The 26,921-nt window shown below is 37.9% G+C and overlaps 1 protein-coding gene across 7 annotated transcripts in view; it reads right to left on the bottom strand.

Annotated features, from left to right (window-relative positions):
* ADAMTSL1 (ADAMTS like 1) overlaps positions 1-26,921 on the bottom strand; it is a 1,004,318-nt gene that overhangs the window by 974,696 nt on the left and 2,701 nt on the right. For 4 of the 7 annotated variants that reach the window (XM_011518063.3, XM_017015311.2, XM_017015314.2 and 1 more), the window contains exon 2: positions 3,230-3,348. The exons of 2 other annotated variants lie outside the window; for them this stretch is intronic. In XM_011518063.3, coding sequence (XP_011516365.1) covers positions 3,230-3,348 — 119 coding nt within the window. Of the gene's footprint in view, positions 1-3,229; positions 5,814-26,921 lie in introns of those variants that run through there. One more of the 7 variants, XM_047424072.1, reaches the window with a different exon arrangement.

Genomic DNA, 26,921 nt, shown 5'->3' with positions numbered 1-26,921 from the left:
TTATGTGAAGTTGCAAAGGAGATACATAATAAGTCTGTAAAATGACATAAGGCACCAGTAAATAGCAAGGAAATTACACTTAGAATAAAAATTACATACACATGCACAGTTGGCCCCAAATCAGGGGAGCAGAAATGAGAGCAAATGAAGATATTATTTTTGTTTTGTTTTCTAAGAGCTAAATGCTAAATACAAAGCCTTGAGGTAGAAGCACACTTGGCAATGTTAGAAGAACAGCAAAGACCAGTGAAGCTAGAGAATAGTAAGTAAGGAGAAACTGGTAGGTGAGAGGATCGGAGAGATGGCTAGATAAATCAGGCCTTATAAGCCATGTGGAAGATGGGAAGCACTGGAGGGCGTTAAGCAGGAGTAGCATAACCTGAGTCATGTTTAATAGGATCACCTGCATGCTCTACTGAGACGAGACTGAAGGTAGATAAAAGCAGAAGTTGAGACCAGTGTAAAGCACTTTTCTAATAATCCAGGCAAGATGTAGATCATTTGAATCAAGATGGTCCATCTGCACCTACAGATAGAACAGCTAGAGGTATTGCTATTAATAGTAAATCAGGCAAGGGGTGTGAGAGAAATAGAGGAGTCAAGAACAACTACGTTTTTGACCTGAGCAAATAAAAGAACTAAGTTCCCTGTCAATGATCATTGGCAATGGCTTTGGGAGAAGCATGTTGTTTTATTTTGCTTTTGGGGGAGTGGGAGCAGGAGAAACAGGAACTCAGTTTTAGCCATGGTAAGAGGCCTGTTAAATATTCATGTAGAAATGCTAAATAGATAGTGAATGCATGAGGTTAGAGTCTAGGCAACTTCCAAGCTACAGATACAAATCTAGATAATCAGTCTAAATAGTATTTCAAGCTGTGATACTGAGTGAAAGTAAGTTACACCAAGGAGTAGGTGTGGAAAAAAATGAAAGTGTCCAAGAACTGGTGCCGGGGGAACATGGGAGACAGAAGGGACAACCCATAAGGCAGGAGGAAAGGAGGGTGTGGGGTTCTGGAGGCCGCACAATCAAAGACTTCCAGGAAGAGGGCATGACTGTGTGTGTTAAAGTGGTAAGTCAAGTGAAATGAGGATGGAGAGCTGTCCACTGGATTTGGTAATATTAATAATATGAAGGCTGCTGATGGCCTTGAAAAAACAGTTTCTGAGGAGTAATACTGTGAAAGTTTGACTACAATCCATTCAAGAGATAATAAAAGAAGATAAATAGAAAATAACCATAATATACAAGAGATAACTGAAGGGGCAAATAATACCTAGAAGGCTTTTAAGATGGAATAACTATATGTTTAAAGGGGAAGGTCCAATACAGAAGTTTTTTTTTTTTTTTTTTTAAAGGAAATAGGATGCAGAAAGAGGGGAAGAATTACTAGAAGAATATCCTTGAATAGGCAAATGGGGATGGAGTCTGGGGCGCCAAGTAGAATGACGGGTCTTTGTGGGGGAAATGGGTAGTTTATCCATCACAACTGGAGATATGTCAGAATACATGAACTACATGCAGGTAGGTGGGGAAAATTTGACTTTTTGTCTGATAGCTGCTATTTTCTCCATGAAATAAGAAGCTATGAGGGATAGGGAAAGAAATGCGGCAGGTCTGATGAAAGAAAAGCTACAAAATATTCATCCAAGGAAGTGGGAGAATGGATGGACTTTGGGAAATTTGGTATCATTGTTGAGCAGCATGCAAACCCACTTGAGGACAGTGGTCATGAATCAAAATCAAGCCATTTATCTGCACAGGTAGAATTAAACTGCGTTAAGGCTTAAACAAGTGAGTGCACCAAAGAGAGAGCAGGAAGTTGAGAAAGTTATTATAACACTTTGACAAAGCATTTTAGCTAGCCAAGGAGGGAAGTAAGGTCATAAAAAGGTGGAAGTAATATGGCTTGTAGGTCCCAGAGATTTGAAGAATTATGAAACTGGAAATTCTAGAGGAAGTGAATTTAAAGACAGGAATAAAGCTTAGAGAGTAAAATGCCAGAAGCTGAGTTTATGGGGGAATTACCTTATTGTTGACAACAAGACTTTGATGCCATCTTACCTATGTATGCACAATAATCCCACTTTGGACACCACATACAGCTTCTTGATTAGTTTCAATGGTGATAGTGCCTTGTCCTCAGTCCCAAACAACATGTAAAATTCAGTATTAATGACACAGACTGCCAATATCAAAGTCATTCCCACTGCAGTGAGAGCCATTTGTGCAGCAGATAAGTTAATACCGTAAAGACAAAAGAAACAACAAGAAGAGGATATTAAAACAGAAGTGATTTGAACCAAACAGCCCACCAAAAATAGAACAGAAACAAGTATCTTTGAGGTTGAGTGTTGATGCAGTTTGGATTTGTGTCCCCACCAAAATCTCTGGTCAAATTGTAATCCCCATTGTTCAAAGAGGGGCCTGGTGGGAGGCGACTGGATCATGAGGGTGGATTTCTCCCTTGCTGTTCTCATGATAGTGAGTTCTCACGAAATCTGGTTGTTTAAAAATGTGTAGCACCTCCCCTTTCTCTGTCTTCCTCCTGTTCCAGCCATGTAAGATGAGCCCGCTTTCTCTTCGACTTTTGCCATGATTGTAAGTTTCCTGAGGCCTCCCCAGCCATGCTTCCTATAGTTCCTGCAGAACTGTGAGCCAACTAAACCTCTCTTCTTTATAAATTACTCAGTCTTGGGCATTTCTTTATAGCACTGTGAGAATGGACTAATACAAGTGCCTAGATGAAGATCCAATGACTGACCACAATATTATGCAGAATCCATCCATGGGTGTGGTAGACTGATGAGACTCCCAAAAATATGCCCTGCCCTATCTCTGGAAAAACGGTCTCTGAATAGGTAAGTTAAGGAATTTCAGATGAGGAGATTATCTTGGATTATCCCGGTGAGTTCCCAAATGCCATCACAAGAGAGATGCAGAGACCGATTTGACCCATACAGAGGAGAAGGTGCTATAAAGGCAGAAGCAGAGAGTGGAGTGATATAGCCACAAGCCAAGGAAGACTAAAGAATGCTGAAAGCTACCAGAACCCAGAAGCAGCAAGGAACAGATCCTTCCCCAGGGCCACGGTAGGGAGCATGGCATCTGCTGAAACCTTTATTTTGGATTTCTGAAAATAATTTTTTCTTGTTTTAAGCCACTTGATTTGTGGCAATTTATTACAGCACCGAAAAGAAACACATACAACTTAATCTAAGCAGTACCTACCATGCATGGTGCCAGGCTGGGCACTTTGTAACCATGATGGACCAGGCTTAGTTGATCTGACATAAGTGATGGATCAAATCCAGATAATAGGAAGTCGAAACCACTTGAAGAAATGAGTCCTAAAATATGAAGAAATAATCATATATCTGGTCATGATAGAAGAGGAGCTATCTAGATTATGGATTCCTGAAGAAATTCCAAAGTGCTTGCAATTGACTTTTATTTGTTTCAAAAAAGGACAACATGGAGAATAGTCTATTGTAATAAGCAGATTACTTAGATCACTGTATTCAAAATGAAAATATTTTCCAGGATAGCCTGCACTAAAGGGAATATATTTATCCCCACCCAACACACAGAAAAGATTTAGAAATGAATGAGATAAACTTAGTGGAAGTTTATTCCTGTCATCTTTTCCAAAGTCTCAGCTTCAGAAATCACCCAAGAAACTAATGATTCTATAGGAAAAGTCTTCAAAATTCAGAGAGATAGCTCTACTGCGCCTTCAACGAAAAATGAGTTTACCACTAAGACTTTCTAATTGAAATAAAAGCAACCAGGACAAAAAAGCATAAGAGATATAAAATGTACTGGCTAGCCACTCAATGGCAAATTCAATCATTTCTCCCTTTTTTCCTCCTCGAAACAGCCTCACAGAACCAAACACCCTACATTCAGCTTTATCTGCTCCATACCCGGGACCCTCTTGGAGAAATTGATGGAAAGGTGGCCAACCGCCCTGGAATTGCCAACCCAGGTCTCAACAGATGTGGCTTTTGACTCATTAACAGTGGCAGCTAAAAACAGAATCAAGTACAGCTGCAAGAAAGGAGCACTGCTTGAGCCCATGGTTGGCTGAGAGGCTCCCGAAATCCCACCCAATTAGCATTCCTCTGAACAGAGATCCTCTACTTGGGGGGAAGACCCACAACAAAATCTGGCAGGAAATGGCATGTTGCCAAACACAAAGATATCCAAACCTGTGCACAGGTGGATTTGAACTCAAATTCTCCAAACAGCAGGGGTCCCATTGAGCCATTTCCACACAGCCTCTACATTGCGGTCTTGCTCTAAATGAGGCAGTTTTTGAAAATACACAGGGGAAGATGATTATTCACCATCTTGTTGCCAATCAGCACTGCTGTAAGGATTTTGCCAAATGACAGATCCATGGATTTGGGAGCTCCATCATTGTCTAGCTCTGACCCGTGATGGAGTTTCAGCATAAACCTCCTTGCTAATCCTATTAAAGAACCAAGAAGGATGCCACCATGACCTCCCTCATCTGCTTTTGGACGAGTGTTCACAGCTGCCACAACTTTCTGATAAATGTCAATCAAACACTTTAAAGCTTCATCAGAAACAGAAAACAGGACAACACTGATCTGAGACTGCACCTTATGCAAAAGGAAAAAAAAGACAGCTGAAAGAGGCACGATGTGGAAAATACTTACATTTCTTGAAAAACAACCAATTTGCAAACTAACTTCTTTGAAATTTTAGAGTTTAAATGTACATTTTTCTATTTGAAGGTTGTAGTTTGTCTCTAAATGCCGTCTCCTCCCAACTTTTCCAAATGACAGCTAGCTTTTACACTTAGATGGATGATGAAAGAAAACAAAAATGGAAAATCTCGAAAGCTCCTCAATACAATTGAAATAGAAAGAATTCAGCAGCCCACCTCACCCACCAGACTGAATTCTTTCTTTCTGCTAAGGAACGGAGTTAAGAGAGAGGCCACAAACTGTGCACAAAAGCAGCACCCGGGCTCGAATTTCTGCTCCTATCCTGTGGAGTCGGGAAGAATGGCAAATCTGAAGGATGGCCAGGTAAGCTTTGGCTCAGATAAAAGTGCAGTATCATGATGTCGTAGCTCGGTTACAATTGCCTTGTTGTATTATGAACGGGACATGCAATAGGTCTTTTTTTCTGTTTAAACAGATACTATTTGATTAATAGCCCCATGAGATGGAGAACTGGTTTTTATTTGTAGTTCATCAAAAGACTAGGACTTATCAGGTGATGTGGGAACGAAAATAGCACATTGGTTGAAAGGCCCCATTTTATTAAGGACAATGCCGCCAGCAGTCCAACCAGAACCCCACCTGGGCTTCCATTCAGCTGACAAGATACTAATCAGCGCATATTATGAATACAGCTACACAAGAGCCTGGGAAGATTCACTACTGTAGGGCAACAAATAGCTTTGTTCAGTCAAGATGCACATAGTGCATTTCTAACTGGTTCCCCTCAACCCCACTCCACCATATCTTACCTTACAATGTTGAAAATGATGAAGCAGGCAAAAACTTCTCCACAAACAAAACTCACACTCCTATTTTTAGCGGTTTCCACCCTCTGGGTCTTGGAATTCTTTAGGGTTTCTATATTCTTGAAAGTCATTTGTGAATCCATATGTATCCAGACATCAGCCACACACTTGCACATATATTTATGACTCTCCAAGCACAATGTGCCAGAGACCAGTTTGTGTGACCTCCTAAGCTCACAGCTATCCTCCCAGCCTCCCTTGCTGGGAGGTATGACCATGAAACTGATTTCTTGTGGAGGGACAAGAGGGAATGGAACCCTACCAGATTTGAGCCTAGTTAAGAATACAAAAAGTAGACGTGGGCAGAAGTGATGCATTCCACTCCCAGGACTACCCCCAAGAAAACTTACCCGTGCAATTCTCAACATTCCCTTCCCCCATATGTCATCCAGATACAGGCACCAGGGTGACCTTGGAAGCTATGTGTTAAAGACGGCAGAGACTCCATCAAACCAGTCAAACCAGGTGGATGACTCCATCAAACCAGGTGCTTGAAGAGCACCTACCCCCACTTCAGCCCTGCCAATTGGACTTTATGTGACCGAGAAATTTTGTTAAAACTCTGAGATTTCAGGATTTTTCTACTATAGTAGCTAATATTTCTTTAAATAACATACGAACATAGGTGCTGCTGTAATTAATAATGTATACATTCACTGTAAAACCAATCCCAAGACAGTTTTATTCACTGCATATTTTCTCAAAAATATTTCATTAATCCTTTTTTCAACAATGCCAGGCACTGAACTAGATGTGACATATATAGAGTGCAGAGTGAGTCCATCCCTGGCCTCATGTGTACAATGTACTGGGGATGGCAGACGTATAACAAAAATGCAAAGAAGTGTATGAAAGAAAATGCAAACAAGTGCTAGAAAGAAAATGGGCATTGTGAGAAATAATGACAGAAGCCATCTAACACAGAAGGAAGTCCAGGGTCAGGACTTTCTGGGGAAGTGATACTTAAGCTGCAGGCCAGACAGATGAACATAAAGTAATTAATTCAAAATAAAGGAAAGAGACCTCCAGGCAAAGAAAACAAATTGTGCAAAGTCCCTTAAGTAAGAACGCTTGGTGCCCTTGGGGAACTGAAAGAAAAGAAGGGCAGGACACCTGGGTAGAAGGGAGCTGAGTGAGGGGAAGAGGAGGAGGATAGAAGGGAGGAAGAGGAGTGAGGGAACCTGGGGAGCTAGGCAGGGGCTGGATCAGGCAAGGCCTTGATATTCATAATAAGGGTTTTCCAGCTTATTCGGAAGCATGCATTCTCAATGGGGGCAATAATGCCCCCAAAGGGGTGAAAAATTGGTTCTTAGGGATACGAAAGAAGAGGTCTTACAGTACATTTATTGTGTTAAGATTTCATGGGGGTGGGGGAGTGGATTAGGATAAAATGTCTAAAAAAGCTTTTTTGGGAGGTGATAACGAAAAGGCTGAGAAATACTGATGTAAAGGCGGCAGGAAATCACTGAAGCCTTTAAGCAGGGAAGTGCCATGGTACAATTTCTGTTTCTCAAAAATCTGAAGAGGAGCTATTAATATGTTTGTGTTTTAAAAGTTTTTATATTTAAAAAGGTTAGAAACCCCTATTCTTCATCGTTTTAAAATTATGGTTAATTGGCATTAACCCACTAGATCATGTAATCCAAGCCTTTCCTTCTACCAACTCAAACACAGCATACACACACACACACCCACACATGCACTCAGGAAGTCTACATAACTGTTTTGTCCATAGTCGTGTAATTAGCAGGCAGTGGTAAGCAGAGTTTCCTGGTCTACTGCCTTTTCTTTCAGCACCCTTTCTAAAATTCTACCTTGTCTGTTGCTCCACACACCATGCCATGTGTGCAATTAGTTTGCATTTTAAATACTGATTCACATTTGACCTCCTTTCACATAGTATGGGTCAGATGCACAAAAAATATATAATTTATTTGCTTGTTCTTGTTAGAGATAGGATCTTGCTCTGTCACCCAGGCTCGTCTTGAACTCCTGGCCTCAAGCAATCCTCCCTCCTCAGCCTCCCAAAGTACTGGGATTACAGGTGTGAGCCACCATGCCTGACAGAACACATAATTTCTTTTTGTCATGCTCCTGGATTGTTGAGGAAAAATAATGTCCTAGCAACATATTGTCCCCTATCTTGAAAAATGTCAATATTTGCAGGTTACATACAAGACTAAACACAAGAATCCTCCTTGGCTCTGTTGATTTGGCTAAAGGTGGAAGAAGTCAGAGGAGTATTGCTCAGGTTTTGTTTTAACCATTGGCTGATTTCCAATGTGAAACTATTAGCTCTACCTTGAGTTCAAAAAGAACTGTTTCCTGGATCTCCCAAAATAGTAAACTAGAAGTCTCAAGAGGCAGGTGCTGCTTTTCTTGTATACAGAAAAAGAACTAGGTTCAGTGGCTAACATCTGTAATCCCAGCACTTTGGGAAGCTGAGGCAGGTAGATCGCTTGAAGCAGGGAGTTTGAGACCAGCCTGAGCAACATGGTGAAAACCCTGTCTCTACTAAAAACACAAAAACATTAGCTGGGCCTGGTTGGCGTATCCCTGTAGTCCCAGCTACTTGGGAGGCTAAGGTGGGAGAATCACCTGAGCCCAGGAAGTCGAGGCTGCAGTGAGTCCTGATAGTACCAATGCACTCCAGCCTGGGCGACAGAGCAAGACCCTGTCTCAAAAAAAAAAAAAAAAAGAAAGAAAGAAAAGAAAAGAAAAAGAACCACACATAAAGCAAAATGGAACATCAATTTCATAGCAACATTATTCACAACAGCCAAAAAGTGAAAGCAACTCAAGTGTCCACTAATGAATGCATGAGTAAATAAAATGTAGTATATATACAGCTGTTCTTAGTATCCATGGGGGATTCACTCCAGGACACCCCAGGAACACAAAAATCCACAGATGCTCAAGTCCCTTATATTGTGTAATATTGGCATAATTTACACATATCCTCTGAAATACTTTAAATCATCTCTAAATTACTTATAATACCTAATACAATGTAAAAGCTATGTAAATATGTTGTTATACAGTATTGTTTAGGGAGTAATGACAAGGAAAAAAGTCTGTACATATTCAGTACAGATGCAACCATCTGTTTTTTATTGTTTTTAGATATTTTGATCTGAAGTTGCTTGAATTCACAGATGCAGGTCCCATAGATACAGAGGGCCATATATATATAATTTATATATCAATATACATTTATATAAAATATTCCACTGCATGCATGTATATGTATATATGTACATATATGTATACATGTATATACACATACATATGTATATATGTACGTATATGTGTGCATGTATATGCACATATGTATATATGTACATGTACATATATGTGTATATGTATGTGTGCATTTATGTATACATGTATGTGTACATACACATGTACATATACATTCATGCAGTGGAATATTATTTAGCCCCAAAAAGGAAGGAAATTCTGATATATGCTACGATATGGATAAGCCCTGTGGACATTATGTTTAAGTGAAATAAGCCAGTCACAAAATAAAACCAAATACTGTGTGATTCCAACTTATGTAAGGTACCTAGAGCAGTCAAAATCATAAACAGAACATAGTATGGTGGTTGCCAGGGGATAGGGGAAGAAAAGAACGAGGAGTTGTTCGTGGCTATAGACTTTCAGTTTTGCAAGTTGAAAAGAGCTCTGGAGACGGATGGTAATGATGGTTGTACAACAACATAAATGTACTTCACACTACTGAAATGTAAACTTAAAAGTGGTCATGATGGTCAATTGTGTTATATATATTCTACCATAAGTTTTAAAATAATTTTAATGGGTAAGATAAAGAAAATTATAAGTGGTTTCACTGTAATGTCGGAGAATCTCTGTACACATAGACACACACAGTCAGAAAACTTAAACATCTAGACCACACCTTGGAAATCTGAAAGCTTGGAAAAGCTCATTGGTGGAAACCAAAACAAGAAAGGGGATATTCTGGATTCATGATAACATTACACTTACAATCCTCTTGAATTTGATTGGCCAATAGTATGTGAGCAAAAGCACCTCTTGTTTTAACCATTGGCAGGAGATTGCCAAAGTGAATCTATTAGTTCTACAATGAAGTAAAAAATCATTGTGTCCTGTGTCACCTCTGAGTGGAAGTATTTATTTAGAGCAGCACTCTCCTCCTCCTTCCTGGGTGGCTATGGAAATGCGGGTTGAGATGGAGCTGCCGTCAGCATGGATTCCTGAGTACGCCCAGTGAGCCAAGCGTTCCTGACGATCCACACTGGTGATGTGGCCGAGTGGTGAAATAAACCTTGGTGGTGTTAAACCATCGTGTTTTGGGGGTTATTTGCTATTACAGCATGATCTAGTCCATCCTAAATAATACAGAGTTTTAAAATTAGCATTCGAAACTGAGAATTTGAATTTCATCTTATACCAATAAATAAGCACTCTTTAATAATAAACAACCTTTATTTCTCTGCAGGTGATGTCTGAAAGAAACATCACAATAGTCATTCTTCATAAAACGTACAAGCAGTATGACAATGATTATTAACAATAAAGAAAACTTCTTTCCTTTCCATATGCAGTAGACATCACAGACCGCATGAGTCAGTGGAGCGTATCTGCAGGTATTTTGTTTGGCTGGTTTGTGGTAGAAATGGGGAGAACATCCTAAATAATAGGCACATGAAACATTTCCTTCCTTTCCTCCAAGAATGTAGCAACAATTGCTACATTGCGCTTGGGGAGAGAAGGTATTGAGCAGCACGTATTCTCCATTTCGTCAAGTGTCAGGTTGCTGGATGCTTTGGATGGTTTTCTTTTTTTTTTTAATTATACTTTAAGTTTTAGGGTACATGTGCACATTGTGCAGGTTAGTTACATACGTATACATGCGCCATGCTGGTGCGCTGCACCCACTAACTCGTCATCTAGCATTAGGTATATCTCCCAATGCTATCCCTCCCCCCTCCCCCCACCCCACCACAGTCCCCAGAGTGTGATATTCCCCTTCCTGTGTCCATGTGATCTCATTGTTCAATTCCCACCTATGAGTGAGAATATGCGGTGTTTGGTTTTTTGTTCTTGCGATAGTTTACTGAGAATGATGATTTCCAATGTCATCCATGTCCCTACAAAGGACATGAACTCATCATTTTTTATGGCTGCATAGTATTCCATGGTGTATATGTGCCACATTTTCTTAATCCAGTCTATCATTGTTGGACATTTGGGTTGGTTCCAAGTCTTTGCTATTGTGAATAATGCCGCAATAAACATACGTGTGCATGTGTCTTTATAGCAGCATGATTTATAGTCATATGGGTATATACTCAGTAATGGGATGGCTGGGTCAAATGGTATTTCTAGTTCTAGATCCCTGAGGAATCGCCACACTGACTTCCACAATGGTTGAACTAGTTTACAGTCCCACTAACAGTGTAAAAGTGTTCCTATTTCTCCACATCCTCTTCAGCACCTGTTGTTTCCTGACTTTTTAATGATTGCCATTCTAACTGGTGTGAGATGGTATCTCATAGTGGTTTTGATTTGCATTTCTCTGATGGCCAGTGATGATGAGCATTTTTTCATGTGTTTTTTGGCTGCATAAATGTCTTCTTTTGAGAAGTGTCTGTTCATGTCCTTCGCCCACTTTTTGATGGGGTTGTTTGTTTTTTTCTTGTAAATTTGTTTGAGTTCATTGTAGATTCTGGATATTAGCCCTTTGTCAGATGAGTGGGTTGCGAAAATTTTCTCCCATTTTGTAGGTTGCCTGTTCACTCTGATGGTAGTTTCTTTTGCTGTGCAGAAGCTCTTTAGTTTAATTAGATCCCATTTGTCAATTTTGTCTTTTGTTGCCATTGCTTTTGGTGTTTTGGACATGAAGTCCTTGCCCATGCCTATGTCCTGAATGGTAATGCCTAGGTTTTCTTCTAGGGTTTTTATGGTTTTAGGTCTAACGTTTAAATCTTTAATCCATCTTGAGTTGATTTTTGTATAAGGTGTAAGGAAGGGATCCAGTTTCAGCTTCCTACATATGGCTAGCCAGTTTTCCCAGCACCATTTATTAAATAGGGAATCCTTTCCCCATTGCTTGTTTTTCTCAGGTTTGTCAAAGATCAGATAGTTGTAGGTATGCGGCGTTATTTCTGAGGGCTCTGTTCTGTTCCATTGATCTATATCTCTGTTTTGGTACCAGTACCATGCTGTTTTGGATATCACCACCGATCCCACAGAAATACAAACTACCATCAGAGAATACTGCAAACACCTCTACGCAAATAAACTAGAAAATCTAGACGAAATGGATAAATTCCTCGACACATACACTCTCCCAAGACTAAACCAGGAAGAAGTTGAATCTCTGAATAGACCAATAACGGGAGCTGAAATTGTGGCAATAATCAATAGTTTACCAACCAAAAAGAGTCCAGGACCAGATGGATTCACAGCCTAATTCTACCAGAGGTACAAGGAGGAACTGGTACCATTCCTTCTGAAACTATTCCAATCAATAGAAAAAGAGGGAATCCTCCCAAACTCATTTTATGAGGCCAGCATCATTCTGATACCAAAGCCGGGCAGAGACACAACCAAAAAAGAGAATTTTAGACCAATATCCTTGATGAACATTGATGCAAAAATCCTCAATAAAATACTGGCAAACCGAATCCAGCAGCACATCAAAAAGCTTATCCACCATGATCAAGTGGGCTTCATCCCTGGGATGCAAGGCTGGTTCAATATACGTAAATCAATAAATGTGATCCAGCATATAAACAGAACCAATGACAAAAACCACATGATTATCTCAATAGATGCAGAAAAAGCCTTTGACAAAATTCAACAACCCTTCATGCTAAAAACTCTCAATAAATTAGGTGTTGATGGGACGTATCTCAAAATAATAAGAGCTATCTATGACAAACCCACAGCCAATATCATACTGAATGGGCAAAAACTGGAAGCATTCCCTTTGAAAACTGGCACAAGACAGGGATGCCCTCTCTCACCACTCCTATTCAACATAGTGTTGGAAGTTCTGGCCAGGGCAATTAGGCAGGAGAAGGAAATAAAGGGTATTCAATTAGGAAAAGAGGAAGTCAAATTGTCCCTGTTTGCAGACGACATGATTGTATATCTAGAAAACCCCATTGTCTCAGCCCAAAATCTCCTTCAGCAAAGTCTCAGGATACAAAATCAATGTACAAAAATCACAAGCATTCTTATACACCAACAACAGACAAACAGAGAGCCAAATCATGAGTGAACTCCCATTCACAATTGCTTCAAAGAGAATAAAATACCTAGGAATCCAACTTACAAGGGATGTGAAGGACCTCTTCAAGGAGAACTACAAACCACTGCTCAAGGAAATAAAAGAGGATACAAACAAATGGAAGAACATTCCATGCTCATGGGTAGGAAGAATCAATATCGTGAAAATGGCCATACTGCCCAAGGTAATTTACAGATTCAATGCCATCCCCATCAAGCTACCAACGACTTTCTTCACAGAATTGGAAAAAACTACTTTAAAGTTCATATGGAACCAAAAAAGAGCCCGCATTGCCAAGTCAATCCTAAGCCAAAAGAACAAAGCTGGAGGAATCACACAACCTGACTTCAAACTATACTACAAGGCTTTGGATGGTTTTCTAAACAAGTATCTGTTAATCTTCCAGGGGCATGATGACTTGAAGAAAAAACACACAGAAGCTGTGTTCCAGCAGGTTACACGAGGGGCGTAAGGGTTGGGGCTTTCCTTCCCCTATGTCTCTGATCATTCCTCTGCTGCAGAGTGACTGAGAGCTGAGGCTATTCCTAAACATCTGAAAACCACTTATAAACAACTGCAGTTACTACAAATAAAGACACTTTAAACTGGTGGTTCATACCTTTAGTTCATGATGTAACTAGACACTAAAATAATAGCGTATGCTCTGATGGGAAAAAAATCACTGAGCAGAGTTATGAGATGCGTGGTTCACTCCCACCTCTCCCTCTAACAAACTGGGACAAGTCAACTCAACTTTCTAAGACCTTACCTCTCTCATCTGTAAATAAGACACATCATATCAGTGTTTCCTAAAATGTGGTTTTTGGTCAAAATGTGTCTGAATCCTCTGTGGTTATGTGGGTGAGGGGGAAGGGTGGGAATGGAGGGGGTACCGGTAATAAACGCATATCCCTAAACCCATCCTAGTCCTATTGAATCAGAATCTCTGAGATTGAGGCTCAGGAATCTGCAATGAAAAACTTCTCAGCTTTTAGTTGCACAGATCTATTCTTCAGTGACCTCTGGAATTATGCAACATAGCACAACTGACTTAGGCACACTGAAGTTTGTGAAACACAAGACTAAAGAGTCCTTAAGACGCCTTCCAGCCTTATAATCCTATGGTCATGAGCAGAACTGAAAAGAAATATGTAGCACGTGCGCTACTCACCCCACTGCCCCCAAAATGCATAATTCTCCACTTAGAGATCATCCCAGTGCAAAATAAAACATTAAAACTGATATAGAATTAATAACTATTCAAAAATTATTTCCCATTCATTTCACCTCATCTCCATTCTCCACCACAAAAAAAAAAAAAGCCTGAACTGCAATCACACCTTAGAGAATACATTTTTAATACCACACATGATATTTCAAGGCCAGATCTTTATATCATGTTAACTCTATGTTCTCTCATAAAACTGTTTCCAAATATGAATGTCAAAATGTATAAAATAAAATATTTCTGTGCTGTATCTCTAAGCAAATAGGTTAGACTATGTTTACTTCAACAGAGAATGAAAAATGAGCTGTTACTGAAAAATTAAAAAACAAAAATAGGGATGGAGAGAGCTGTTATTATTGTGTTTGGCAACCAGAAGGCAGTCAGTGAGCACGGAATCTCTTCCCTAAAAAAAAATTCTGACATTTGTACTTGCAGAAAGGGTCACTAAATCCAGAACTAGACCCTGGGCCTCTAGAACACAAATCTCGTGTCTTTTTTATAATTCTGACCAGTGTCTTATTTACACTAGGAAATAAAAAGTGTCAGTCTCTGAAAAGTGTGCCTCATAACCAGAATGAGTTATAACAAGATTGGGAACTGGATCAGGATAGAAAAATAGAAATTAAAGAGAATAAATAGTGCTAACTTCCAGTTAACATGGCAGGTTGAACACCATATTTTCTCTCCCAAATGTCTGCTAAAATAACAGTAAATAAATAAAGATGACAAAAGAATTGGAAAGGACACAACAACAGGCGAAAGATGAAAATAAATTTTTGGAATATGGAAAACTGGTGGAGGAATTGTAACTGACTTAGCAGAATTGTGCGGGCAGAGAGATAAAACAAGGAGTCACCAAACCATGTGGCCTGTAGGGCTTCAGACTTGGAGGTACCTGGTGCTGTTGAAAGAAGAGGGAGATGAGTGAAGTTTGTCCCCAGCTAGGAATACTGGTTCAAAATCTACGTAAATTTAACTCTGTTGAAAATAAAATTGAGAAAATCCTTTAGAAAGTATAACAAACAAATAAATACAAAAGATTTTAAGAGATGATGAACAACCCAAGAGGCCAAATAACTAATAGGAGTTTTACAAAAAGCAAACACATAAAATGTTGGAAAGGAAATTATTGAGGATATATGAAAATAAATATTCCCTAAATTGAAAGAGACAGATCTACTGAAAGCCCACAAAGAACCTAGCATGGTGAATTTAAATAACCCACAGCAAGGCACAGCATTATGAAACTTTAGCACAGGGGTCTGCAAACGATGGCCCATGGGCCAAATCCGCCCTCTTGCCTGGTTTTGTAAATAGTTTATTGGAACACAGTCACAATCATTTGTTTACAACTGTCTAGGCTTCTTTCATGCTATAAAGGCAGAGTTGAGAAGTTAGGACAAAGACCGTATAGCCCACAAAGCCTAAAACATTTACACTATTTCCCTTTACAGAAAAAGTTTGCCGACCTTTGCTTTAGAGTGCCAGATATAAAATGAACATTCTAGAAGTTTCCAGAGACCAAAAAATGCAGGCTGAAGACACAGGATCTAGATTTAAAATGGAACTGGATTCCTCAATAGCAACATGAGATGTCAAAAGAGAACGCGGTGATGCCACCAAAATTTGAGGGAGGGGAGTAGAAGCAGGGAGAAAACTATTTTCAACCTAGGAGTCTATGTCATGCAAAATAAGCAACAAGTGTGAGAGTAGAATAACTTTCTGGACACAAAAGTAGTTTTAAAAAATTTTACTTTCATACACATTTTATTTTCTGGAGGTTGAGGAATCTATGAAATAGGCCAGTTCAACAGAATAAAAGAAGCGAAGTCTTAGTATGACAGCTATGAGGGTGGGTACGCAAAAAGCAATCAGACCTAAAGACAACAGAGAAGGGTGAAAGGAGGAATGCTAGCAGGGCAAAGGAACTGACTCTGATTGTTATTATGCCTTTGCATTTGGAAAAATTATTCATAGGCATGTGACAGGTATTCAGTAGCACTGGAGGAAAAGAGTAACAGTTACATAAATTAAGAACTTTTCTTTCAATCAAGGCAGTTGTTAACTCTAATAAAACATAAGTAAAAATGAAAAGATCCTCAACATCATTAGTCATTAGAGAAATGCAAACAAAAATCACAATGAGGAATCACTTCATATTCACCAGGATGGCTATAATCAAAAGGTCAGATACTAATAAGTGATAGTGAGGATGTGGAAAAATTAGGACCTTCATACACTGCTGATGGGAATGTATAATGGTGTAGCAGGTTTGGAAAACACTCTGGCAGTTTCTCAAATGATTAAATATAGTGTACTATTTAACCTAGCAATTACACTCCTAGGTATATACCCAAGAGAAATAAAAACATTTGTCCACCCAAAAACTTGTACATAAATGTTTATAGCAGCATTACTCATAATAGCTAAAAAGTGGGAAAAATCCAAATACCCATAGGTAGATGAACAAATAAACAAAATGTGTTATATTCATACAATGGAATAATACTCAGCCATAGAAAGGAATGAAGTACTGATATATGCTACAACTTGGATAAACCTTAAACACATTATGTTAAGTGAAATCAGACAGTCACAAAAGTCCACATATTATATAATTCCATTGATACGAAAATCTAGAACATGGAAATGTATTAAGAAGGTAGATAAGTGGTTGTTTAGGCTAGGGTGGGAGGGAAGTAAGGGGGTGATATAAAGGGTACAAGATTTCTTTTTGAATTCACAAAAATGTTGCAAAAGTGACTGTGATGATGGTTTAATGTAACTGTGAATATAATAAAAACCAATGAACCAGAACCGTTTAAAATGGAGTCTGGATTCCTCAATAGCAACATGTACTTTAAATGCATAAATTGTACTGTTTGTGAATTATATCTCAATAAAGCTTTTTTTTTTTACAAAAAGGAAGTGTACTAGAAAAAATAATAATAATGTACTACTTGGCTCACTATTGCCACTACAACATATTAATACTTATCATTGATTTTTTTAATGTGATAAAAGATAACAAAAGGATGATGAAAGTAGGATTTGAAAGAGAATTAGGAAGTCATACTATAATGGGAATTTAATAAAATATGGTAAGTCAGGAGATCACATTAAAGGTACAGTGTGAGAACAATGGAGGTAACTATTATATTAAAAAAATCTCAAATCAGAAATGTTTGTCTAATATTAATATAGCCAAAGGCAAAGTAGATTTTAGAGCACAGACCATTACTAGGGATAGAGAAGGTCATTTATTCATAATAAAGGGTCAACTCACCAAGGTAACATAACAATCCTAAACATTTATGTACCCAATAACAGAGCTTTAAAATAAAGCAAAAACTATTAGAACTGCAAGAGAAATAGACAAGTCTACAGTGGTAATATAGAGATGTCAATATCCCTTTCTCAATAATTGATACAATAAGTATACAGAAAAATCAGTAAGTGTATGGAAGACTTGAACAATGGTATCAACCAATTTGACCTGATTGACATTTAAAGAACATTCTATCAAACAATAGCAAAACTGATCGGGAAAAAAAAATAGAGGCACAAATTTGTAGAAAGTTTAATTCTTTTCAAGTGTACACAGAACAGTTAATAAGAAAGACCATCATTCTGGTCCATTAAACAAGTGTCAATAAATTAAAAAGGATTCAAGTGACATAAAGTGTGTCATCTAATCACACTGCAATTAAACTAGAAATCAATAACACAAAGATACCCAGATAATCCCCAAATATTTAGAAACCAAACAACCATTTCTAAATAGCCATGAGTCAAAGAAGAAATAAAAGGTTATAAGAAAGTACTATGAACTGAAAAAAAAATACATATAGAAATTTATGATATGCCTCTAAAGCACAACTTAGGGAATATTTATATCATTAAACATCTGTGTTTGAGAATCCAAAATACCTTATATCAATGACTTCAGCATACACCTTACAAAACTAGAAAAATAAGACCAAATAAAACAGACTAGAAGAAAAATTAATGAAGAGAGGAAATGAGTGAAATAGAAAACAAAAACAACAAAGAAAAATTCATTAAACCAAAAGCTGCTTCTTTGAGAAGATTGATAAAATTGATAAGCTATGAAGCAGATTGATCAGGGAAAAAGAAAGAATAACCAATATCATGAATGATACAGGTAATATAACTACATAGCCTAATAACATTAAATAACATAATAAAGGAGCACTATGAACTACTTTACACCAATGAATTCAACAAGTTAGATGAAACTGACGAACTTGTGAAAGACAATCAAAGCTAACTCAAGATGAAATTGATAACCCTAATAGCCCCATATCTATTCAAGAAATTAAGTTTGTAATTAAACAGTTCTCACACCAAATAAAATTTAGGTCCAGGTGGCTTCACTGGTGAATTCTTAAACATTTAAGGAAGAAATCATATAGAGATTGCAGAAAGTTGAAAATAAGGGAATATTTTCTGACTTATTCTATGAAGCCGGCATTGCTCTAATACCAAAACCAAAGATATTTCAAGAAAAGGAAACTTCAGAACCTTATTCCTCATGGACATAGATGTAAAAATTCTAAACAAAATTTAGTAAATTGAATCCAACAATATATAAAAATAATATTATGATCAATTTGGGCTTATTCCAAGAATGCAAGGTAGGTTGAACATTCAAATATCAGTGAAGGTAACTCACTATATTAAACTAAAAAGGAAAAATCTTGTGATAATTAGCTGCAGAAACAAAATCCATTTCTGATAAAAACACTCAGCAAATGAAGAATAAAAGCAATTTCCTCAGACATAAAGAGCATCTACAAAAAAGCCCACACCTAACATCATACTTAATGATAAACAAGACAAGGATATCTGTTCATACCACTTCTATCCAACCTTGTACTGGAGGTTCGAAGGTAGTGTCATAATACAAGAAAAAATTTCATAAAAGACATAAAGACTTTAAAGAACTCTCTTTATTTGCACAAGACAATCACTTATGTGGAAAATCTGATGGAATATACTACATATTGTTGCACACAACAACTACAGCTAATGAGTTTAATAAAGTTGCGGAAAACAAGAATATATAAAATCAATTGTATTTTTGTATACTAACAAAAAAAGAATTGGAAACTAAAATTTTTTAAAATGTCATTTAAAAAAGCATAACATATGAAATATTAATAAATCTGATGAAAATATATAACACTTGTACACTAAAATATTGTACCAAATACTGTTTAGAAGACCTAACTACAGAGGTTTTCATGTTCATGAGTCATGAAACTCAGTATTAGTAAAACGACAATTCTCTCAAAATATATCTTTTAGATTAAAACACTCCTAATCAAATCCCCGCATGCATCTTTTAATTGGCAATCTGATTCTAAAATTCATACAGGATAGACAAGTCAATGTCCTTGAAATATGAAGAACAAAGTTATTTTTATTTATCAGGACTTTTTATAAGGCTATACCACTCAAAGTGTGCTACTAGCATAGCAATAAACATGTACTTCAGTGGATTAGAGCAGAGAATCCAAAAATAGACCTACGCGTGTGTGGACAACTGATTTTTGAAGTACAAAGACAATTCAGTGGAGAAAGGATGGTCTTTGCAAAAAGTCATGCAAAAACAATTTAACATCCATAGGCCAAAAAACGAACTTTGATCCCTACCCTGTACCATATGCAAAAATTAACTCAAGAATGAAAGAAACTAAATGTAAAAACCTAAAACTATAAAACTTCTAGAAGACAACCTCTGTAATTTTGGGTTAGGCAAATATTTATTAGAAACAAGAACAAAATCACAATTGTCCAGGAAACAATTTGATAAATTCAACTTCATCAAAATTAAAAGCTTCTGCCAAGCAAAGGACACTGTTAAGAAAATGAAAAGACAGGCCACAGACTGGAAGAAAATATTTGCAAATCACACATCTGAGAAGACATTCATAGTGGCTGGGTGGTGGCTCACACCTGTAATCCCAGTACTTTGGGAGGCTGAAGTGAGCAGACCACTTGAGGCCTGGGGTTCGAGACCAGTCTGGCCAGCATGGCAAAACGTGTCTCCACTAAAAGTACAAAAAAATTAGCTGTGCATGGTGGCACGCACCTGTCATCCCTGCTACTTGGGATGCAGAAGCATGAGAATTGTTTGAACACAGAAGGTGGAGGTTTCAGTGAGCCAAGATCATGCCACTGCACTCCAGCCTGGGCAACAGAGCAAGACTGTCAAAAAAAAAAAATTCACAGCCAGAATGTAGAATTCTCCAAGCCCAATAAGAAAACTAACAATCCTATAATGGGCTAAATATTTGAATAGAAATTTTACCAAAGAAGATGTGTGGATTCTAAACGTATGAAAACATGCTCAATATCATTAATCATTAGAGAATTGCAAATTAAAACCCAGAACAAGCTATGACTATACCTGTTTGAATGACCAAAAGAAAAGACCACACCAGGTATTGGCAAGGATGCAGAGGAACTGGAACTCTCATTCTGCTACTGAGAAAAGGGTACAACCTTTTGAAAAACTGAGTTTCTTAAAAAGTTAAATGTACACCTACTATATTATTCAGCCATTCCATTCCTAGGTATTTACCTAACACAAATTAAACAACGTGTTCATACAAAGACTTGTACATAAATGTTTGCAGCAGCTTTATTTGTAATAGCAAAAGTGGAAACAGACACACTGTCCATCAATAGGTGAATGCTGATGGACAACAAACTGTGGTCTATCTATACAATGCAATACTACTCAGGAATAAAAGCAGCGAGATATTGATACATGCTATAACAGGAATAATCTCAAAATAATTATGCTGAGGGGAAAAAGCCAAAAGCCTCCTTTCAGTTAAAGGAGGAGGGATTGTTCCATTTACATAAAACTCTAGAAAATGCAAACTAATTCACAGTAACAAAGTATTTGATTGGTAATGTTTGTCTGGTGATCATTATTTGCCTGATGATGCTGGACTCAAGGACAGGAGGGAGGAAGACATTGCAAAGGGTAATGAGGAAACTTCAGGGTGATGGTGTCATGAATATATGCATATGTCAAAACTTATCAAATTGTATACTTTAAACATGTGCAGTATACCTTATGCCATTTATACCTCAATACAATGCAAAACAAATAAAAATCCTTAGTAGCATTTTTAACAATGCAAAATTATTATGGTAAAAAAAGAAAATAAATAAAAACAACAGCAAGAACATACAGGAGGATAACAAAAAAAACAAGCAAGTCATCTTCAAGAATTTTAGTTGGTTTGGCTCTCTGTTTGTCTGTTATTGGTGTATAAGAATGCTTGTGATTTTTGTACATTGATTTTGTATCCTGAGACTTTGCTGAAGTTGCTTATCAGCTTAAGGAGATTTTGGGCTGAGACAATGTGGTTTTCTAGATATACAATCATGTCATCTGCAAACAGGGACAATTTGACTTCCTCTTTTCCTAATTGAATACCGTTTATTTCCTTCTCCTGCCTAATTGCCCTGGCCAGAACTTCCAACACTATGTTGAATAGGAGTGGTGAGAGAGGGCATCCCTGTCTTGTGCCAGTTTTCAAAGGGAATGCTTCCAGTTTTTGCCCATTCAGTATGATATTGGCTGTGGGTTTGTCATAGATAGCTCTTATTATTTTGAGATACGTCCCATCAACACCTAATTTATTGAGAGTTTTTAGCATGAAGGGTTGCTGAATTTTGTCAAAGGCCTTTTCTGCATCTATTGAGATAATCATGTGGTTTTTGTCATTGGTTCTGTTTATATGCTGGATCACATTTATTGATTTACGTATATTGAACCAGCCTTGCATCCCAGGGATGAAACCCACTTGATCATGGTGGATAAGCTTTTTGATGTGCTGCTGGATTCGGTTTGCCAGTATTTTATTGAGGATTTTTGCATCAATGTTCATCAAGGATATTGGTCTAAAATTCTCTTTTTTGGTTGTGTCTCCGCCAGGCTTTGGTATCAGGATGATGCTGGCCTCATAAAATGAGTTAGGGAGGATTCCCTCTTTTTCTATTGATTGGAATAGTTTCAGAAGGAATGGTACCAGTTCTTCCTTGTACCTCTGATAGAATTCGGCTGTGAATTCATCTGGTCCTGGAGTCTTTTTGGTTGGTAAGCTATTGATTATTGCCACAATTTCAGAGCCTGTTATTCGTCTATTCAGAGATTCAACTTCTTCCTGGTTTAGTCTTGGGAGGGTGTATGTGTCGAGGAATTTATCCATTTCTTCTAGATTTTCTAGTTTATTTGCGTAGAGGTGTTTGCAGTATTCTCTGATGGTAGTTTGTATTTCTGTGGGATCGGTGGTGATATCCCCATTATCATTTTTATTGCGTCTATTTGATTCTTCTCTCTTTTCTTCTTTATTAGTCTCGCTAGCGGTCTATCAATTTTGTTGATCCGTTCAAAAAACCAGCTCCTGGATTCATCAGTTTTTTGAAGGGTTTTTTGTGTGTCTATTTCCTTCAGTTCTGCTCTGATTTTAGTTATTTCTTGCCTTCTGCTAGCTTTTGAATATGTTTGCTCTTGCTTTTCTAGTTCTTTTAATTGTGATGTTAGGGTGTCAATTTTGGATCTTTCCTGCTTTCTCTTGTGGGCATTTAGTGCTATAAATTTCCCTCTACACACTACTTTGAATGTGTCCCAGAGATTCTGGTATGTTGTGTCTCATGAGTGAACTCCCATTCACAATTGCTTCAAGGAGAATAAAATACCTAGGAATCCAACTTACAAGGGATGTGAAGGACCTCTTCAAGGAGAACTACAAACCACTGTTCAATGAAATAAAAGAGGATACAAACAAATGGAAGAACATTCCATGCTCATGGGTAGGAAGAATCAATATCATGAAAATGGCCATATTGCCCAAGGTAATTTATAGATTCAATGCCATCCCCATCAAGCTACCAAGGACTTTCTTCACAGAATTGGAAAAAACTACTTTAAAGTTCATATGGAACCAAAAAAGAGCCCACATTGCCAAGTCAATCCTAAGCCAAAAGAACAAAGCTGGAGGTATCACGCTACCTGACTTCAAACTATACTACACGGCTACAGTAACCAAAACAGCATGGTACTGGTACCAAAACAGAGATATAGATCAATGAAACAGAACAGAACAGAACAGAGCCCTCAGAAATAACGCCACATATCTACAACTATCTGAACTTTGACAAACCTGAGAAAAACAAGCAATGGGGAAAGGATTCCCTACTTAATAAATGGTGCTGGGAAAACTGGCTAGCCATATGTAGAAAGCTGAAACTGGATCCCTTCCTTACACCTTATACGAAAATCAATTCAAGATGATTAAAGACTTAAACGTTAGACCTAAAACCATAAAAACCCTAGAAGAAAACCTAGGCTTTACCATTCAGGACATAGGCATGGGCAAAGACTTCATGTCTAGAACACCAAAAACAATGGCAACAAAAGCCAAAATTGACAAATGGGATCTAATTAAACTAAAGAGCTTCTGCACAGCAAAAGAAACTACCATCAGAGTGAACAGGCAACCTACAGAATGGGAGAAAATTTTTGCAAGCTACTCATCTGACAAAGGGCTAATATCCAGAATCTACAATGAACTCAAACAAATTTACAAGAAAAAAACAAACAACCCCATCAAAAAGTGGGCGAAGGACATGAACAGACACTTCTCAAAAGAAGACATTTATGCAGCCAAAAAACACATGAAAAAATGCTCACCATCACTGGCCATCAGAGAAATGCAAATCAAAACCACTATGAGATACCATCTCACACCAGTTAGAATGGCAATCAGTAAAAAGTCAGGAAACAACAGGTGCTGGAGAGGATGTGGAGAAATAGGAACACTTTTACACTGTTGGTGGGACTGTAAACTAGTTCAACCCTTGTGGAAGTCAGTGTGGTAATTCCTCAGGGATCTAGAACTAGAAATATCATTTGACCCAGCCATCCCATTACTGGGTATATATCAAAAGGACTATAAATCATGCTGCTATAAAGACACATGCACACATATGTTTATTGCGGCATTATTCACAACAGCAAAGACTTGGAACCAACCCAAATGTCCAACAATGATAGACTGGATTAAGAAAATGTGGCACATATACACCATGGAATACTATGCAGCCATAAAAAATGATGAGTTCATGTCCTTTGTAGGGACATGGATGAGATTGGAAATCATCATTCTCAGTAAACTATTGCAAGAACAAAAAACCAAACACCGCATATTCTCACTCATAGGTGGGAATTGAACAATGAGAACACATGGACACAGGAAGGGGAACATCACACTCTAGGGACTGTTGTGGGGTGGGGGGAGGGGGAAGGGATAGCATTAGGAGATATACCTAATGCTAAATAACGAGTTAATGGGTGCAGCACACCAGCATGACACATGTATACATATGTAACTAACCTGCACATTGTGCACATGTACCCTAAAACTTATATTATAATAGTAATAAAATAAAATAAGAAAAAGAATTTTAGTTGGAAATCAGGTGCCCATAAAGGCGCAATTCTTTCCAGCCAACCAGGAAGTATTTATTTTATTACTGAATTCCTAACAAGGATACCATTTAGAATAACATTGTAAATGGAAATATTAAATCTTTCTGTCTGAATGAGCTACCACATATATATCACCAAAAGGACATGAACCGCCAGCAAGTGACATTTTTAAGCAACAGTAATGGATTTGCGCTGATCTAGTAACACATCCTCTTGACCAGCCTTCTTCGTTTTACAGTGGATTGCTACAGTCAGGTTGTAGAAATCGTTAAGTAATTGATAATATCTACTGGTTACCATGAGTTGATTAAGCATTTCCTTATCTGGGAGCAATTAAGGTAATAGGATCATGCTGGGTTCAGCTTATGAAATGAAATTAATGAGGAAAATAATCAGTTTCATAAGAATCTAAGGAATGAGTTGCCTTTAAGTTGCAAGGAAAGAAAAGAATCCTTTAAGAAGTGTAATTCAGTCAGAAGAGAAAGGGAAATAACCCCTGAAAGCAGAAATTCAGTGAGAAGAAAGAAATCTTTAGATTTCCAAATAATTTTTATTGGCATTAAAATTGTTCTTTGGACTATTTGGAGAATATAGCTCAAACATCATTCCATTTGGGTAGCAAAAGCTCTTGACTGCACAGTCTCCTTTCACTATAGCTACAGTATCTACACGGGAGGTCTGTTTGTTATACCTTCATGTATTGAGTGTTTTGATTCAAAAACAGCTTGAAGAATATATAAATTCCAAATAATGTTCAAATCATCTGGCACTGGCTATCGATCATAGAATGATTTCTTCTTGATTTGATATTAAGTATCCTCAAATTTCTGATCTGTTTAATTTGATGGTTAAATATAATGCCTATATGATTAAAACCAAGTGAAGACTTTAAACAGCTGCTCTGACAAACACCTGACCAAGTTAACTCTCAAAGGCATTTTGCATTTACCGGGATACTGAACCAATCTACCACTTTAAACTCTTTTCTGTTCTTTCTCAGACAAGTTTCATCAGGCTCCTCACATGTGGACAGCAGCTCTGAATGGTGGTAAGAGAAAGACCCATTTGGAATTAAACAATAAGCCACTTGCAACACACACACAAGACCCAAATCTGCTGTCATCATCCTTATCCAGAAGAAATGGTTAAGAAGTGGCACAGGAAAGAACATGTGTGTAATGTTAGGAAAAATCAGCTTGTCATGAATGCCAAGAAAGCACCTAATGACTTGAAGTGAGTTTGAACAGGCAGTGGGAAAGCATAAAAAAAAAATACTGCAAGTCTAAGAAACTACAAGCTCCTTTTTAGCATCTTTGCTGGATCCAAATATGAGCAGGTATTGTAGCAAATTATCAATGATAAGGTAGAATTTCTACCTTGTGGATATTTAAAAATAAGACGAAAGATGTCTTAATTTGGTTCAGATGTCAACCTGCCTGGTGTTGTTAAAGCTGGTAGGACCTGTGAAAAAAGGGGCCAACACCCTCACTTAACAGATGAGGAAGTGGAAGGTAAGGGCCTCGACCAAAATGATACCGCGCTTAGGGACAGCGCCGGGACTGGAAGCTACATGTCAAGACTCCCAAGTCCCTGTCTCAGGCCTTCTTTACTGTTCTTCGAGTTTACTTCTGGGGCCATGATTCTTTTTTTTTTTTTCTTTTAATTATACTTTAAGTTTTAGGGTAAATGTGCACAATGTGCAGGTTAGTTACATATGTATACATGTGCCATGCTGGTGCGCTGCACCCACTAACTCCTCATCTAGCATTAGGTATATCTCCCAATGCTATCCCTCCCCGGTCCCCCCACCCCACAACAGGCCCCAGAGTGTGATGTTCCCCTTCCTGTGTCCATGTGTTCTCATTGTTCAATTCCCACCTATGAGTGAGAATATGCAGTGTTTGGTTTTTTGTTTTGTGATAGTTTACTGAGAATGATGATTTCCAATTTCATCCATGTCCCTACAAAGGACATGAACTCATCATTTTTTATGGCTGCATAGTATTCCATGGTGTATATGTGCCACATTTTCTTAATCCAGTCTATCATTGTTGGACATTTGGGTTGGTTCCAAGTCTTTGCTATTGTGAATAATGCTGCAATAAACATACGTGTGCATGTGTCTGCATCCCTTCCTTACACCTTATACGAAAATCAATTCAAGATGATTAAAGACTTAAACGTTAGACCTAAAACCATAAAAACCCTAGAAGAAAACCTAGGCATTACCATTCAGGACATAGGCATGGGCAAGGACTTCATGTATAAAACACCAAAAGCAATGGCAACAAAAGCCAAAATTGACAAATG

The sequence above is a fragment of the Homo sapiens genome, chromosome 9 (genome assembly GCF_000001405.40).
Source record: "Homo sapiens chromosome 9, GRCh38.p14 Primary Assembly".
Taxonomy (NCBI): Eukaryota; Metazoa; Chordata; class Mammalia; order Primates; family Hominidae; genus Homo; species Homo sapiens.
This window is presented reverse-complemented; position numbering and strand designations above follow the sequence as displayed.